At 36.1% G+C, this 19913-nt stretch overlaps 1 protein-coding gene across 3 annotated transcripts in view; it reads right to left on the bottom strand.

Moving 5' to 3' along the window:
* The window catches only part of HIVEP1 (HIVEP zinc finger 1), a 204356-nt gene that overhangs the window by 27109 nt on the left and 157334 nt on the right, over positions 1–19913 (bottom strand). For all 3 annotated transcript variants that reach the window (XR_007059258.1, XR_007059259.1, XR_007059260.1), the window contains one exon: positions 5267–5359. The gene's annotated coding sequence lies outside the window, so the exon portion shown is untranslated. The remainder of the gene's footprint in view (positions 1–5266; positions 5360–19913) is intronic.

Raw genomic sequence — 19913 nt, 5'->3', positions numbered from 1 at the left:
ATTAAACCTTAGCCTGAAATGTGTAAAAAATATTTTAGAGACTTCCACTGCTTTTTATTTTTAAATAAATAATGACTTCTCCTAGGAAAGTTTTATAAAGTTGCAATGAAATAATAATACATATCACTTTTCAGCTGAACCTTTTACTCTATGGGACAATTGCATAATGACTCATAAAAGTTTTGATTTTATTGGTGGAATTTAAATGTATGATATGAAGTGATTTTTTTCGATTCTAACTGCTTCAGAGAAACAGGAAATGCATTCTAAGAAATTCCATCTGTGACAACAGATTGAGGCACAAAGGGCTGCGGTTCAAATTTAAGAGGCAAATGAAAGGGAAAATGGAAGAAACGATCAATAGCTTCATTACGTTGATTGCAATGAAATTAAAATGCAAACATGGTCTGCCCAAATGGGATTGTTTGCGAATGCCACATTAATCAATGGCAATAAATACAGATCAAAATATACCATTTTTGTGTTCCATTCTGGAATAGTGGAATGAAGAGAAGTTTGAGTCTGTGTTTAGTGTGATGATACTGTAATTGGTAAACAGGTGACAAAGAAAAAATTTTGACATTTGTGCTGAAAGTTCTTCAAGATATTTATATCTAAATCTTTTGTAGGTAACATTCTAGGAAATTCCAGATCCGAGTACAAAATAGAGACAAATATATCATCTGTATTCTCAATACAAAGGCTTTGAGAGATCAAAAATCATGATGTTTGCTGAAAACACTGCCTATTTTCTCTTGAAGCCAAAGGAAAAGGTAATCCTCCAACATCTAAGTGTTCCCCAGGTAAAATGATTTGACAGAATTCAAATAGTTCTCTTTTACGTTCTGACAAATTGCTCCCACTTCCCCCCAAATCAGTCTGTCTGTCTGTCTGTCTGTCTGTCTGTCTGTCTGTCTATCTATCTATCTATCTATCTATCTATCTATCTATCTATCTATCTATCTTTACAATGTGATTTGGCCTGGAATCCCTGCCACTGTAGCTCCTTAAAATAATGTTGAGTTTAATTATCTGAAATTCTTTTAAATTTATTTTTGTTAGCTATTTATTGTTCAAACTTCAGTAACTTCACATGGGCAAATACAACCATAAATTCTATCTCTTGCTTTTGTATATTGTATCTCAAGGGATATAACAAAATTATTACGATATAGTTAATTTGGGCTTATATATGAATATTAGAGGTATGTGCCACACTACGATTTTGAGTGTAGATGGCTAGACGAATCCAAAAATGAGTTGAAATCACTGTCCCATAATTAAATGATCTTATCTTATAAATGTGAAAAACCATGAAAGGTGGCAAAAAGATGAGAAATCAGGACATCATCTAAATTCTAGTCCAAGTAGGACAAGATTAAATTAATTGATTAAAACTTAGTTAACTCAGTTAAACTTCTCATCTAAAAAAGAAGGGCTTTTATCTGAAAGATCACTGTAGAACATATCTCCAAGAACTCCATAACGTAGCTGGCACCCCAGACATTTGCACACAATATTTAATAAACAGAAGAGGATGCTAAAGCGAGTCTGCTCCACAGAACAGGAGTCACATCCTTTAAATTTGCCTTTCCTTCTCTTTCTCTCACTTAGTTCTCCTTCTGGGTGTTTCATGTATCTAATTAATACTACAGAGGATGTTAGACCAGTAAAAACAACTTTGTTCTACCTTGTTTGTTCTCTTGTTCTCAAGTTTTCCTGTTTTTCAAAAGGATTACAACTAGGATTGGTAGACTCCTGAAGTTTCTCTTGTTTCGTTTTGGCTTAAATTTTTACTGGAATTAAAAAAAATCATTTTTCTTGCTGTTCTAGTTGAAAGCACATTTTCTTTTTTTATACGTAAGTTTTCTCCCTTTAAATGTCCTGTGATACAGACTCCCCCATGAATAATGTTATACTGCAGTTTGGTCTCTGGCATCATTTTTACTTCTTCACTTTAGAAAAATCAGGTCTCCTTCAGTGCTGAGATGTGCATCCTTTCTTGAGTCACCGGGGAGGGCCACCATGTGATTGGACGCCACATCCTGCAGTACTCATGCACACAGTGTCACCCACATTTGTAATCGCAAAGGCATTCTGATGTTATTAATGACACCTTCTACTTGCACAGTACTGTTTATATATTATTAGGCAATTATACACATTTCCTCACTGGATCTTCCTCGCAAGACTCTTTTGATGCAGGCATGGCACGCACTATTCTTTAAGAAGGAAAGAATGGAAGATCAGAGATAGCAAGTCACAAAGAACCCAAGAGGTGAGATTGAGGGAAGAACCCACGTACTCTGGCCCCTGGTTCAAGACTCAATCACTATGTCACATCATCTTTCCTCTCCAAAGAAACAGACATTTCCTTCAGCCCTGAACTAAACTGAAAACCTTCTTTGAAATCACTATGAAACCTGATTTCATATCAATTCACATGTCATCAGAACTTTTGCTGCTAGTTGGGGATGGGACAATAGATCTCTTAGAGTCACCAATAACCTGTCAGCTTTATGATCAATATGCCTGTTATTTTTTTGCTTCACATCCCTGAGGCACGACAGGAAGAAGCAATTTCTGAGTGTGATTCTTCATATACTTTATTTTCTCTTATTTTTCTCTTTTCTTTAAATAAAAGGGAAATTTTTGTTTTAAGAAAAAAAGGAAAAGATGGTACTGATATCACACATAAATTATTTTCTATTTGACTTTTCAACATGACAAGTTCATGAAATTGATTTTTAGGTGCGTTAGTTGGCATCTTCAATTCTTTTCCGATTTTTCATGCTATCTTTGTAATCTACTGTTAATACAGGAAGTGCTTGAAACTCTGGGCCCCATGTATGAACTTGTCTAATTTCCAAATCTTAGGAAAATACACTGAGAATAAACTACAGAATAATGAATTTGGATATCTGGGTAATCAGCTTTCAGGAGAAGAAATATGAGGTATTCCATAGTTTCCATATCTCGGCTCTGATCACTCTCAAGCTATTTTGGCAAAGAAAATAGCCTCTCTTATTTGTACCACAAAATGCATTATTATGATCAAAAGAGAAAAAAATGGGATTTTAAGGTAAGTCATCTAGATGTTAGCATCCATGTTTTATGATGTAAGAAGAACCACTTCTACACTTTGACAAATACAAGCTCTCACCTTTGCAACTTGTATCACTATGATGGCATCCAGGATAATATTCACATTTTCCTGTACTGACTGTAGCGAGGGCGTCAATGTTTCAGCATTTGGGTGTCTGTTGTTTTGAGAATCTACTCAAAGTCTCCGAATACTTTTCTTTTGGATTACTTCAGTTCTCTGTAATAACAGATCTGATAGAGTTTATAAGCCAAGTTAAAACACCTGGCATGGTGGCATGCGCCTGTAGTCCCAGCTACTTGGGAGGCTTAGGTGGGAGGATTGCTTGAGACCAGGAGGTTGAGGCTGCAGTGAGCTATGATTGTGTCACTGCACTCCAGGGTCTCACTCTGCTGCTCCATCCTGGGCAATAGAGTGAGACCCTGTTTCTAAAAAAATTTTTATTTATTTATTTATTTTTATTATTTTTTATTTTTTGAGACGGAGTCTCACTCTGTTGCCCAGGCTGGAGTGCAGTGGCGCAATCTCAGCTCACTGTAACCTCTGCCTCCCGGTTTCATGCCATTCTCCTGCCTCAGCCTCCCGAGTAGCTGGGACTACAGGCACCTGCCACCATGCCCGGCTAATTTTTTGTGTTTTTAGTAGAGATGGGGTTTCACCATGTTAGCCAGGATGGTCTCGATCTCCTAACCTCGTGATCCACCTGCCTCGGCCTCCCAAAGTGCTGGGATTACAGGCGTGAGCCACAGTGCCTGGCTCTAAAAAAAATTTTGCTTAAGTTACAAAAAATAAACATATGTATAGTCAGAATTATAAGACTGCCTGCATATTCAGAGCATGAGGTCTTACCCTGACAGATGTTTGTTGACCTATGAAACTGACCAAACTGCCATCATTGCAATATAGCTACGTCTATCTTAATGAAATCACATGTTGTTTACACCTGTACTTGAAGATACATCTTTTTCAAGCCTATTCAGCATTAAGCAGCACCTACAATAAAAGATCCTTTACCACAAATGAAAACAAAGATATGTTCACGGATTTGAATATTAATCTCGTGTGGATTTGTAACATTGTAAAGTAAGACCTGAGGTGATCCAGAGGGAAAAGAAGTTGTGGCTTCTTCTCATACACACTTAAGCCCAGAAGGTGGCCTAATGCTCTTACAATCTTTCAATGGAAATTTTGATAAAGAAAATGACGTGGTGTTTATGAAATACAGGAAACACCGAATATCTTTCTTATTTTTCATAACAACACATCTATTTATAATTACTTGTTAAGAGATTAAGAAACAATAATAATTTTGGAGAAACTGACAATTAGAGCAAATCCGTAGGTGATTTTTAAATACTTAGTATAAACAGATACATTTTCTTCCTCTGAAAATATTGAATGCTTATAATTATAGTTTATAAGAATAAAGAACTCTTTCTCCTCAGTAGATGAAGATTGAAGTTTGTGAATCGCTGCAAATGTATATGCCGAGAAAACAACTGAATTTATTTTAATTTAAAATGCTCTTATTCAGCTTAGCAAATAATGGGCCTGTAGTTAGAAAAGAATATGCATGAAGAAAAAGTAAGATAAATACACAGTAGAAGTGGGCCAACATTTTCCGGGGCCTCAGGCAAATATTTATCCATTCTCAGCCTCAGTTTCCTTAACTGAAAAAGAGTGCCAACCTCATAGTATTAATAGAAGGATTAAACGAAAAAAAATGTGAAGTGTTTAGCAGGATACCTAGCACACAGTAAATGATCAGACATTTTAATAATTTATTTTGCAAATGCTATTCAATATCTTGAGTGCATATTGATATAAAGCTTATTTGAAATTTCTACAAGATAAATGCTTTCCAGTCTTTTAAAAGAAAATTCATGTCATAGCTGTTTAGTTTCTCATGTTTTATATCTTAATTTTTGTTTTATATTAACAGGATCATTTTTGGAAGCATTATTTATAAATAATAAATAAGTAAGTATAAATAATAAATAAACAAAACATTATTTATAAGTAACTACTGTTGGGAAAAATGCCTAACATCATTGTAGATTTCTACTGAACTTTTGGTTTTGCTTATGTGTATTACATGGATACATTTTCTTTTTAAAAAAACATTACTTGTAGGTGATACTGTTACTTGTAAGTGATACTCACCTTCATGGAACAATAGTAGTCATAATGGTAAAAGCAGGAGAGCAACCTTGGCCTTGAGCTCCTTGTGTTCCACGACTTCCATCCTCCCTGCTCCTGGGGATGAGAAGGAGCAACTCATTAACTAATTGTTGGTGGTGACCACTGGCTCATATTTTTAAGGAGGATGGAGCCAATCTATGAAAATGCTGTAAGATTGAGCTATCCGTCTCTTTATTTTCTGGCTCCAATCAGAGGTTATGCAGAACTAAGCTCCCTTTCTCATGGACTGTCCCAAAGCTTAGCCTGCTGGTGGATGGTGCGGAGGGAATGCAGGGGAGCAAAAAATGATAGGAGGTGAGGAACAGGACCACTGCAAGCCTGCTTGATTATGAAACTAAGCCACCTGCTCCATTATCACCTTCCTCAGTCACAGAGCTGATATTTGGGTCCCTATCTATATATTAATCTGTTCCCAACTCGGGTAGAAAACAACTGTATTATTCATTTGCCTCATAAAACCCCATCACCTCCTGATTGCCTGTCCCACAACCTTCAGCGTCTCTCCAGGGACGTCCAGAGCTATGTGCTACATGTATCATTCCATGCCTTTTCCTGTGCTTTTACATAGAGATATACGACTCCATCATTCTATACTTCATTTGTTTATATCTTTCTATATTTTTAAAATAAATTGGATCCCATTGTATAAATTTTTCTGCAACTGGTTATTTTATCTCAAAACATGTCTTGGAGATCCATCCATCTATCTAACGCTTTCTTTTTAGTTCTGCTTAGCATTCTAGAAAAAGGAAAATACTGTCGTTTATTCAGACATTACTCTATTGAAAGGCATTTAGGTTCTTCACAATTTTTCAGTAGAGAAAAACACCACACAATGAATTTTTTCGTTCATGTCCCCTTGGCAAGTGTTCCTCTAGAGCTGATGTAAGGGAGTGGGGATTGCTGGAACATAGAGCCTGCACGTGTAGCTCTAATAAATACTGCCAGATTGTTTTTCCAAATGGCCCCATCAACTCAGACCTCCCTCTGCCAGTTGTGTCTGAAGACACTGCTTCCTCTACAGCCCTGCCATACCAGATGTGCTTAGGTTCTTAATATTTGCCTACCTGGTTATAAAAACCATATCTTGTTTTAATTTGCATTCCTCTCATTTTTATTAAAGATGTCCTTTATTTCCCATGTACCTGTTGTCCATTTATATTTTTTCTAATATGAATTGCATATTTTTACATTTAAACAAATATTTTTGTAGAGATGGGGTCTCGCCATGTTGCCCAGGCTGGTCTCAAACTCCTGGCCCCATGTAATCCTCCCACCTCGGTCTCTCAAAGTGTTGGAATTATAGGTGGGCACCACCATGCCCGGATCTTATTCTCACAGTTTGAACATTTTCCTAGTGTGTTATTTGACTTTTCCCGACCAACTTGTAAAATAATTGAAATAAGTTTTGGAGGAGAATCCTCTGTCAGACACATAAAGCAAATATTTTCCTCCAATTTAGTTTTTATTTTAAACAGTTTTGAGGGTAGTACCAAAGTTTTGCCTCTTGATGAACTTGACTTTACGAGCCTTCATGATTTTGGGGTTTTGTTTCTTACCTGCAAGCCTTTCCCTATCTCAATGTCATAAAGATAGCACTATATATTTTCCCTAGTAAACATATAGCTTCCCTTTTCATAGTTATACTTTGAAATGTTATCTTAAACATTTCAGATTAAAGTCACAAGAAACATAAACCCAACGCAAACACTTTCAAATATTCTTTATAAATTAATCAAATTCTTTTAAATATTTTACATTACAAGTATAAATTTTATGTATTAGTATCTGATTCTCTGAAGTACTTTGAATACTGACACGGGAGACATACAAATGAATAACAAATAACAAAAACAAATGTTACTAAACACAAAAATTCCCCTATCACTTATCTAGCTTATTAGAAAGACACATTGTGGTTTAGAGTCAAAATTTCAGAGCAAGAAGGGACATTTGATTGTCAGTTATTATCTTCTGGTTTCAAATTTCTAACGTTGGTCTCCCCAGATTAATAACAATCAATGCAACAATAATAATAATGAGAGAACTTTGAACACTTAATACAGGCTACACAGGTCCTTTACTAAACACCTACATAAGATCTCATTTATTCACAGCAATTTCTGAGGTTGACATTATCATTAGGCCCATTTTATAGATGAAGAAATTTAGGTACAGGAAGATATAATGACTTTCTCAAGTTTAGAAAACTTGTAGGTAGAGGAGGAAGAATAAAATCCCAAGCACAGTCTCCAAAGCCTGTGCTGGTAGCTACCATGAACATGGCCCCTTTGTATCATTTTATTTTTTTAACTTGTATTTTAGGTTTGGGGGTACCTGTGCAGGTTTGTTATACAGGTAAACTCGTGTCACAGGGATTTGTTGTACAGATTATTTCATCACCCAGGTACTAAGCCTAGTACTCAATAGTTGTTTTTTCTGCTCCTCTCCCTCCTCCCACCCTCCACCCTCAAGTAGATCCCAGTGTCTGCTGTTCTCTTCTTTGTGTCCATGAGTTCTCATCATTTAGCTCCCACTTATAAGAGAGAGCATGCAGTGTTTGTTTTTCTGTTCCTGCGTTAGTTTGCTGAAGTTAATGGCCTCCAGCTCCATCCATGTTCCCGCAGAAGATATGATCTCGTTCTTTTTCATGGCTGCATAGTATTCCATGGTGTATATGTACCACATTTGCTTTATACAATCTGTCACTGATGGGCACACATTAGGTTGATTCCATATCTTTGCTATTGTGAATAGCCAAAAGCAATGACAACAAAAGCAAAAATTGACAAATGGGATCTAATTAAACAAGAGCTTCTGCACAGCAAAAGAATATATCAACAGAGTAAACAATCTACAGAATGAGAGAAAATATTTGCAAACTATGCATCTGACAAAGGTCTAATATCCAGCATCTGTAAGGAACTTAAACAAATGTAAAAGAAAAAAAAACAATGCTTTGTATCCTTTTTAAAGGATGGAGAGTATTCACCCTCTTTGGACATCGCTTTCTTCATTTACTAAATGGGGAAACTGGAGGAGTTAGCTCAAGCTTGCTTTTTATATCTGAAGTCCAACGGCTCCTAAAAACATACCCAAGACTGGCCGGGCACGGTGGCTCACGCCTGTAATCCCAACAATTTAGGAGGCCGAGGCAGGTGGATCACCTGAGGTCAGGAGTTAGAGATCAGCCTGGCCAACATGGTGAAACTCCATCTCTACTAAAAATACAAAAATTAGCCAGGCATGATGGCAGGCGCCTGTAATCCCAGCTACTTGGGAGGCTGAGGCAAGAGAATCGCTTGAATCTGCAGGTGGACGTTCTGGTGAGCCGAGATCAGCCATCACACTCCAGCCTGGGGGACAAGAGCGAGACTTCGTTTCAAAAAAAAAAAAAAAAACCCAAGACTTACAAAAACAAAATTACCCCGAGTCAAACCAAATACCACTCTGACTAATCAACTGTTTCTAATTACTGCTTAACAATGTCACTCAGATACCCTCTTGTGCCAGTTGTGAGTAACCTGGAGGTTGCCAGGCCATAATAAGAATCCCGGATCCCAGCAGAACTGGAGATGCAGAGGCAGCTCACTAAGTGGCTGACGGGCTCCTCGCAGCCTCAGGAGGCTTCTTTGTTGTCTAATGCTGGTCTCCGGACAGGCCTGGACTCTGTGGAGGGCCCAGTAGCAATCATATGCAAAGATCACTCCTCTCTGTGACCAATCCCTGTTAGGTTGCACCAAGAATAAAGTCAACCCCAGAAGAGCCAGGCAATACGTACCCTCCCTTCTGGATGGTGCCGCGTCATCTACAAAGATCTCACACACTGTTCCGCCAGCTGACAGCCCATCCTCCCTTAGTGAATGCACAGAAAGACTCCACATTTTCGAACTTTTAGAAAGAAGACTTCACATAAGCTGTCAGAGATGACCTGTTTGGCTTATTTGACTTATTTCTGCCTTGTCTGGTTTTTCTGCAAAGCACTTAGGAAACATTTTAAACATAGCGCAGTATTTAAAAATAGGGTGTAAGTGGTTTTGAACATAGTCACAGATACACATCTGACCATGGACTTGCATGTGATACGTGCTTCATAAGTATTTGTTGAATGAATGTTAGTATCTGTTCTATTGGAAAGCATTTAAAATTATTGAAAAACTTGAATAACTAGTGCTAACATTTATTTGGATATTACTATACACTAGGATTTGTTAAATACTTTGCATATTATCTGTTTTTATCTTCCCAAAGGCCCTCTCATGTTGGCACTTTTGCCCTAACTTACAGATGAGAAAACTGAAGCACAGAAAATAAATAATTTGACAATTAGCTGGTAAATTGTTTCCATATGAAATACTTAAAAAAATTAAGCTAATGTTTTGATTTGACAGATAAACTAGAAAACACCAGCACTATTTAACAGTAATTAGATACGAATATTAATATTCATTAGATACCAATTAATTATTAATTCAATACTAATAATATTGTTGCAGTATGTAGATGACAAGCCTTGAGATAGTATTTGTAAATCTGTTCTCTCTTGCCCACACCCTATTTAGTCATAAATTTGTGAGATGACTCAACAGTTAGAGACACAATCTATGGTCATTGAAATAAACCTTGAACAGAGATTGAACTTATGTTCATTCACACCAGCCACCAGATCTAAATGGCCCCTAACTCTGGACCGAAGTAATGCAATGTACAGATTTTACAAATCATTCATTTACAAATCACTTAAATTACATTACAAATCATTTACAAATACATTTGGCATGTATTCTACGTGCTGAAGAGAGTTATTTAAATAGCAACAACAAGGACAACAACAACAACAAAAGTTGTAAGTGTCTCTAAGAGACAATACAAGTCCATCATGGAAATATGTTATCTATTTCAACTGAAATTCTAAAGAACATACGATTCTACCTGTAGCAGAAACTTGAAATGTTTTGTCGCCTGAATCTGTTGTGTCTTCCAAATGCTTCTTCTTTTTTTGAAGGATTTAGAAAAACGACAACAAAGGGTTCACAGGAATTTGTTTAGTTACAAAACAAAACAAACAAAACATTTTTCCAGGATTGGTCCCTGGGGTCCCTGTGTCAGTTCTGATCTTTATCTCCATTTAAAGGGCCTTCAGAGCACTGACCTGGGGGTACTAGGGTTGCTTAAGTATCAAAGAGGGTTGATGTACCATATACTAAATATTTTACAACTATTTCCAACAGAGCTTAATGCTTTCATCAAGCATTTAACTTCATTAGTTAAGTGAAGTTTTTAATAATTTGGGTCTGATTTAAAAAAAATAAATTTTAGAAATTATTTTTCTCCTCATAGACATATTTTTTGAAATTTGGTTTCTCATAATCAATATTATGAATTCAAAAGTTTCCAACCCTTGTAGATTAGAAATGATGCATATTATTTCATTAGAATAGTTAACATACTTTTAATGAAGACCAGATTGTTCAATCAATAATTATTATGATTGCACATGGTTGAGTATGAATAATAAGTAGACTGCATGAAGTCGTAAACTACTTCTGGCAAATAAAAATGTTGAAGGAACAGAAAATGTCTTGCTGTGTAATGAAAGTATAGAGATGTTCCGAAATAAATAAATTCAAATGTATTAAAGGGCACTACTGCTGAATCAAAACTGTTCTTAACATTTGACCCTACTGGGCAAAAATAAGCCTTGCTATTAGCAGAGAAAACTAAGCATGCCTGGCTAATTGACTGATCTCAGAGCTGGCTTTTCTTTCCATGACTGATCTCCAGGAATGTAAAGCCCTGATGTCTTTCACCTATCATGGTTTCCTTAGATCTCATTTGGCAACATTCATAGGTAGCTAGCTAAACATACTGTCTTTCAAGTAACTGAAAACAAATGAATGAAAGATGTCTTGTCTCAAGCAAATTCAACAACATAACAAATGTCTATTGGTCTTCGTGAAATATCTTTTTCAAGCCCACAGATATATAGACATCATAAAAGTTATCTAATTATTCACGTCTGCATTTCAGGACCAAAAGTAAGAATCAGACAAAGAAAAAAGTTACGTTTTATATGTAGGGACCTCTATTGCCTTATACTGCAATATGGGATCATCTGCTAAACAGAACAAATATTTATTTTTCTCTCTTACGCTTTTTATAGCTAAAATGTATAAACGCCTTCATTTCCAAGTTCCTGTCATCGCTTTCTTTCCCTCATAAAGTCTGCACATAAAAAGCAGTGCAATTTGCTGTCCCCTTCCTAGGAGAAATATGTTTAAATAATTATCTTCTTTATAAAATGTAATGGAAAATTGCTCCATTTCTTTTTGGAAATATTTCTGAAAAGATCAGACTCAGGAACTTCATAATATAATATGTTATGCTGTATTCCAACAATGTCAATACTCAAAACAATGTGAATCGCTGCTCCACTGTCTTCCCTCCAATCTTTTCTCATAAGACATGTAACAAAGACATTTTTCTGAATAATGATGAAGAACTGAAACCTAATATACTTGGAAGTTTACATGTGTTATGCTTGATTAGAACTGTCACTTTGGATTGCTCTTTTATCTCCTGCTATTTAAGTTAAATGTTTCTTCACTAAATATTTTTATGGCTCCTATTATATCAGTTGTGAGAAAGGGCAAAGAAAAAGGTTACAAAATCTATTATTTATACAAATATGCATGGCACTGGACATACTCGTTTTTGTAGAAAATTTAAATGGGATGTTTTATGAATACTAAATAGACTTTCACCTAGAAATGAATACAATACAACCCAATTATCATAAATCATTACTGAAAAAGCAGCATGGAACAGTAGAAAAAAAAAAAAAAGGACCGTGTTTTAACTCCCAGCCTCACTACTTAACTAGCTTTGCAACCCTGAGCAATTATCTCAACCACAATGTGAGAATGACTTCATATAATGCAATATCTGTTGTAAATGTTAAAATTAAAAATACTGCACTATATAAAATGTGAGTTTTTTTAATAAAACACTATCATACCAACAGAGCATGACCTATAATCTCAAAATTTAAATCTAATATCTTGTTAGTTTAAGTAAGAAAATTTACCTATCTTTGAAAAGTCATTTATCAATATCTCTTTGAGCCAGGAAAATTTCCTGTTTAATTTGAGGTGTCTTAATAATTACCAAAATCAGCTATATTTTTTTTCAGAATGAGATTTATGGTCTAGGTGGTGGGGAAATAAAACTTAAAACTTATTTAGGTCCTTAATTTCCACTTTTCCATCCTTACCTGAGCATGCAGTCCCCAGTAACAATCTAGTTCCCAGTAACAATCTAGCACCTCAAAAGAACAGTTGTTCAGTGTGCTGAAATAAACCCTTAATACAATATCTAATGTACACCTCAGGCATGATGGAATGAGACAGCCCTAGCTTCTCAGAGAACAAAAGCAAAGTAATTAGAAAACTTTTGTTAAATGTCATGGGGACTTTTAATTATGTCTGAAAGGCCAAATCTACAAAATGAACAAAACTTGATTCCTGACTTAGAGAAATGTCCGCCTGGTCCTTCTCCCAGATGATGGAATGTGGGTGGGTCATGGGTTTGAGTCCCAGGCTCTTCTCAGCTGCCTCTGTCTACTTTCTCAGAGCAGATCTAGTTGTCAGAGTCCGAGCTCTTGGAGGTGGTGTCCATTCAGAACTCGCTTGAGAATCAAGTGGAGGGGTGAACAGCTAAGCATTGCCTCCCCGGCTGATCCCAATACATCTTAGAGGATTGGCGTGAATCATACTAGAATGTTTAACCTTGCAGTCTTCCTTGAAGAGAAATCACTATGTTCTTCCATATTTATGTCTGATTATTATGCAAATATGAGCTTTAGCTGTGAGCCATGAATTCCCACTAGCTTCTTGCTGTGAGGTTCAGCTTAGTTTTACACAAAAATGAACGGGGACATGGCATTTCCCTCACAATAGCCCACTTTCTCTTCTTTCACAATCCCTGAACTCTCTCTCCTTCCACCAGAAAGGCAACTTCTTTTTTATTATTTCTGCTCTGTGACTCTCCCTAGGTGTGTCCTTAGCTATCAGGTGAGGAACCCGCCAGATTATCCTATTTCCAGCCCCTCTCACAGGGGCCACTGTGAGCTTGGCCTCAGAGCCTGATGGCCTCAGAATGTGCTCTTTTGTCTGTATCTTGTTCAAGCCTGGAGTCCGATTATGGAGGATGCTCCCAGAATGCTCTGATCATGAGGGTATAGAGTGTGGTTTTACATAATGTATTATGAAATCATGGATTTCTGGCTGGGCGTAGTGGCTCTGCCTGTAATCCCAGCACTTTGGGAGGCTGAGGCAGTAGGATTGCTTGCGGTCAGGAGTTCAAGAACAGCCTGGGCAACATAGCAAAATCCCATCTCTACAAAACATAAAATAAAAAATAAATAACGTATTTCTACTATGCCCCAGATTAGGCTTTTTCTTGGGAGAGGGAGGGATGAGGGTGGCACATACTGAACTTTGTGCAAAGCAAACTGCTGTTTTTTAGTACACTTAAATTTTCAATCCAAGTGCCAAGGCTTTTGCTTTCTTGTTAAATTGTCTTATTCATATTCAGCCCATCTCTCCACTTGGTTGAATCTTCTGGACACTGATCCTGACCTATTTGGGTCATCAACAAATGTTTCCTCTATTTTATTCAGTCCGCCAACTAAAAAGAAAGAATACTGTGGCCAGCTTGGCACTGGGTCACTCGTGATTGCTTCCACCCTCCTCTGCATTACTTCCCTTTCCTCCTTACTTTTGTGTCCTGTGACTGCTTCACTCTCCCGTAAGTTATTAACACATTAGAAAAGTGACAGTGATGGTTTCTGGAGTCCACAGCCCGTGCTCCTTTCCCTGTAGTGCTCTGACCCACTGATTGCTCTTTCCACTTGACGAGCCCACCGTACTAATCATCCTTAAATCCAACCATAATATTATTGCGGCTTCGTCAGATGCCTTGCTAAATCCCAAAATGTGGTTTATTCCCTTGGTCTCAATGCCCTTTCACGTTCCCTACTATTTGCTTATGTGTTATGCTGTTGCATCACACCATCCTGGCTTCAAATCCCAGCATCTGCATGGCAAGGTTTCATCACATCTGTGAGTTGCAGCCTCTCCACCTATAAAACGAAGAGATAATCCTTCCTGCTTGGAATGATTACATAAGATTATAGATGGCACGCCGTAGGGATAAATACGGATTCTCCTCCACAGTGCTTCTGTCTGTTCTGTCTCATCCACTGTCTCTGCTTAACCAAGTCCCTTCAAGGCCATATTTAAATGTCTCATTCTCTTTGAAGCACTCCCTCATCAACTCAGCCAGGAATTCTCCTTCATTCGCACTCCTGCTGGACTCGGTGGTACCTTCTTTTGCCATTCAAGATACCTTGCATCTTGCTTACTTACTCTTCTACTAGAACTGAAGCTCCTGAAGGACAGGCATCATTTAATTTGCATCAAATTTGCATTCCCAAAGTTTTTTTTTTCTTTTTGAGATAGAGTCTCACTCTGTCGCCCAGGCTGGAGTGCAGCGGCATGATCTCAGCTCACTGCAAGCTCTGCCTCCCAGGTTCATGCCATTCTCCTGCCTCAGCCTCCCAAGTAGCTGGGACTACAGGTGCCCACCACCACCCCCGGCTACTTTTTTTGTATTTGTAGTAGAGACAGGGTTTCGCTGTGTTAGCCAGGATGGTCTCTATCTCCTGACCTCATGATCTGCCCACCTTGGCCTCCCGAAGTGCTGGGATTACAGGTCCCAAAGTGCTTTCTACACTATTGGTGCTAAATAAATATTATCGAATGTCTGAGTGAATCCTCTCTTCCACTTAGACTGGTCCCTGGCACACATTTGTCTTAGACTTCATGACTACTATTTTTGTTCTACTCCTTAGCATCATGTATATTCTAAAGTCCCAAATCCCATACCTCCTTCAAAATACAGCAATCCCCTGTATACACAAATCATTCTTTAACTTCTTAAGACAATCACTTTCTTAACTCTCATACATTTTTAAAGTCTGTGGTCTCTATGATGTGGTCTATTGTCATGTCCTAGTTTACCTGATCTGTCTTAAGCAGGCATTCTCCTCTGGGGTAGAAACTGTACCTTCTAATTTCTTTTGGAGTTGGTTGGTACTTAAATTATTACTGGATTTTGGATGTCTGGGCGTTTTCTTCAAACCCAAGCCAGATTCAGAAGACAGTGAACACCTAGGAGCAGATAATGTCTCTTATGCCTACAGTGCCTTCCAGAGAACCTTTATAAGCAAGGTTCCAGATAAACCTGTGTGTGCAAAGACTAGGAATCCAATATATTTAAGTAAATGCATCATGACTTTCAGATTACAGATGTTCTTTGATTTACCATGGGGTTACATCCCAATGAATCTATTGTAAATTGAAAATATCCTAAATAAAAAATGCATTTACCGGGCACAGTGGCTCATGCCTGTAATCTCAGCACTTTGGGAGGCCGAGGCAGGCGGATCACTTGAGGTCAGGAGTTCAAGATTGGCCTGGCCAACACAGTGAAACCCCATCTCTACTAAAAATACAAAAATTAGCCAGTGTGGTGGTGTGTGCCTGCAATTCCAGCTATTCGGGTGGTTGAGGCAGGAGAATCACTTGAACCTGGGAGGCAGAGGTTGCACTGAGCTGAGATTGCGCCACTGCACTACAGCCTGGGCAACAGAGCAAGACTGTTTCAACAACAACAACGACAAAAAAGCATTTAATATATCTAACCTACTGAACAACATAGCTTAGCCTACCCTACTTTAAACGTGCTCACTTACATTAGCCTACAGTTGGACAACATCATCTAACAATTATTTATTTAAAAATAAATAAAGTCTAGAATATCTCGTATAATGTATTGAATACAGTGCACTGTAGTGTGTTTGTGGTTACAATCACGTAGCTGGCTGGGAGCTTTGGCTCCTGCTGCTGCCCAGCATCATAAGAGATCAAACCCTATATTGCTAGCACAGAAAGATATCAAAATTCAGAGTATGGTTTCTACTGAATGCTTATCATTTTCACATCAGTGTAAAGTTGAAAAAATCATTAAATTGAACCATAGTAAGTTGTGAACAGTCTGTATATAATTTGTATAGAAAAACATTTTGCTATTCTTGCTTTAAACCTTTTCTCCTTTTTTTCCCCACTTGGTAATGAGAGCAGGGAGTTATTGCCACTAAAATATATTATATAAAATATTATATATATACATATATACATGTATATGTATATAATATATACATATACATGTATATATAATTATATAATATATATGTATATAATATATGTATATATGTATATATGTATATAATATATGTATATATGTATATATACACGTATATCTGTATATATAATATATATGTATATAATATATGTATATATGTATATATGTATATATACACGTATATCTATATATAATATAGATATACACGTATATCTGTATATATAATATAGATATACACGTATATATGTATATATAATATACATATATACGTGTATGTGTATATATGTATATATACACATATATATGTATATATACACATATGTATATGTATATATAATATATACATATATACATGTACATGTATATATAATATATACATATATACATGTACATGTATATATAATATATACATATATACATGTACATGTATATATAATATACGCAGATATACATGTACATGTGTATATATTATATACGCACATCTATACATGTACATGTGTATATATTATATACGCACATCTATACATGTACATGTGTACATATTATATACGCACATCTATACATGTACATGTGTATATATTATATACGCACATCTACACATGTACATGTATATATTATACACGCACATATACACATGTATATATGTATATATATTATGCATATATGTATATATGTATATATATTATACACATATATGTATATATGTATATATAACATATATATGTATATGTATATATAACATGTATATATACATGTAATATAACATGTATATATACATGTAATATAACGTATATATAACATGCATGTAATATATACATATATTATATATATACAAATATATATTACAAAATACATATTTTGAATATTAAGTAGGAAATTTAGAATTTTAAGTCATGGGAAGTCACTTTGAGAGAAGATTCTTAAGGTGATATACATGCTGTATTTAGAATTTATAGATGGTTTTGAAACAAAATTAATGAAAATCATCTTTCTGGTATTATTTGAAGTTGACTGCAAAATGTAAGATGAAAAACAGAAAAGTCAAAAAGAACCCTGATGTTATAATTTGAACTGAGCATGAATCAAGATCTATTAACTATCTTGACAGTCTTCCAACAAAAATAATGATTATTTTCCATAATCCTTATTAACTGCTATCATTTAAAATTCAGGCCAGGGATTAATTAGTAAGAAACGTGTTACTTATACTGTTTCTGTGAAAGGAAAATCAGGTCTATATTATGAAAAATATAACTGAGAAACAAAATTTGTACATTCAATACCATCGGTTAATTATCATTTCGAAAGAAATAATTATCATTTTGGCTTAAAGTTTAGGGAATGAAAATAAGTTATTGGAACGCCCTCGATTTATGTTATAATACATTTTCATAAGCCAGATATAATAATCTTTAACTAGAAAAACGACCTGTGGTTCTTCAGCTGTTTTTTCCAGTACTTCTGATGATGGCATTGCAGTGGATTCACACAAGGTATTGAAATTGTTACACATTAAAACTTTCACCTGTTTTGTCAATAAATTATCTTACTATGTCATTGCACCCTAGTTCTCTACAGGCCTGGGTCTCCACACACGACAGTGCAACAGAATAAAAGTCAAATGTAGTCCCATTAGTTCTCCGAATTACATTATTTGGAAGTCGTTTATATTTGGGAGTATCAAGTGGACACTGCTCCTTGGGAAAAGACGACTTCGGAGAAATAGCACAAAATTATTGTTCCCTTGTCTATTTTGTGCATGTAATTTCAAAATATAATGGCTTAGACTTTGGTAATATTTTTTATAGAGCTGCATATTTCAAATACTAGCAAAATACTTGAAAGGCTACAATAAAGCTTGAAAGTTGCCAATAGTAAAGGTATTTGCACGATGCATTGAATTTTGAAAAGCCCAAAATAAGAATCTTGAAAAGTACAAAATAAGAGTAAGGTACATTACAGCATTATGAAAATTTCAAGGGAACATCCACTCACATCGTAACACTTGTCTTTAAGTATAGGAATTTTTTAAATTAAGAAAATTCTATAGAAACTAAAAAACCTCAATGCTAAAAACTCCAAGCATTATTTTTGAATTTAGAGAAGTCATCTGTACTTAATTATGGAGTTAAGAATATGCTTATTATACTGCTTTAAAATTTTAGGCAATAAAAAGTTCATGACACAGTTAAAACATTAATTTTGAGAAACTGGACAGAAAACAGACCTCATTTTCAACAGCTATTATTGATAGGGCAACGCAATCCCTAGAGCAGATATTTCCAGAATTCTTTCCAAAGCTATCTCAGAATATAAAAATGTAGTTTTATTGTTTTTGAGAGAATTTTGTTACTTAATCTATGGAAATATGTAAATGTAAATTGAAGCATTCATTTAAAGCATCACAGATCCACCAGTGCGTGCTGGGACTGCAGCACACCTTGGAGATCCTAATTGAGATAAGGATACGCAAGTTGAAATGCCAGGTCTTTGCAAAGTCACAGACGTGAAGCTGGGTTGGCTAGCAGCAGGTCTCCAAACCCCTTAGTAGATAGGCTGTCCCCTACCTCTCACCTCGCAAACCATGCTGTTGTCTTACTTATTTCATGTCTCTGCAATCTTTGTTAAGCAAGCCTTTAAAAATGTGAATACATTGACTTAATGATGTGCTAAGTATTTAAATTCCAACATTAAAATACTTTTCTCATAAACCTAGCATCTATAATCATTAATAATGCAAATCACTGCACTGGTAATTGGGGGCTCCCCATGCCGCCATATTTTCCTGAATAAGGATGGTTCAACCTTCCAGGACAGGAAATAGTAATGTCTAAAGAGAGTCACTTAAGTAATTTAGAAGTCTGAATTTGGCTCTTCGGTAATCTTGGACACTCTGTAGTTCAGTGCTGGACAGAGCTCTGTGAGTTTAACAGCATCAAGGGAAAGAAGAGCCCATAGCCCACGAATGGATCTGGTGTTGGAGCCTGGAAATGAGGTTATACGGGTCTCATCTGAGCCAAATTCTAAGGACAATGGGGTTTAACTCATGTTTCCCAGAAATTTCCATACCCTCATTTAGGAACGTTGCCCATTTTAGGCTATATGCTTTATGTATATACAGAAAGTATTCTTATATATTTAGTCTTCTAATAATAACTATGAAATGACTTCTCACAAATAAGAAAAATAGGTCAATCAGTTGTATGGATTTCAGTTACAGTTTCACATGGTAGAAAGGCGAGTAAAGTCTCTGTTTATAAAAAAAATGAAGGGTTGAGGGGAATGTGGAAAGAATGGAACCCAGGGCTATTTTCCAAATGCAGATCACTGATCACTGGATGAT

The sequence above is a fragment of the Homo sapiens genome, chromosome 6 (genome assembly GCF_000001405.40).
Source record: "Homo sapiens chromosome 6, GRCh38.p14 Primary Assembly".
Lineage (NCBI taxonomy): Eukaryota > Metazoa > Chordata > Mammalia > Primates > Hominidae > Homo > Homo sapiens.
Note: the sequence above shows the minus strand (reverse complement) of the source record. Positions and strands in the feature narration are given on the sequence as shown.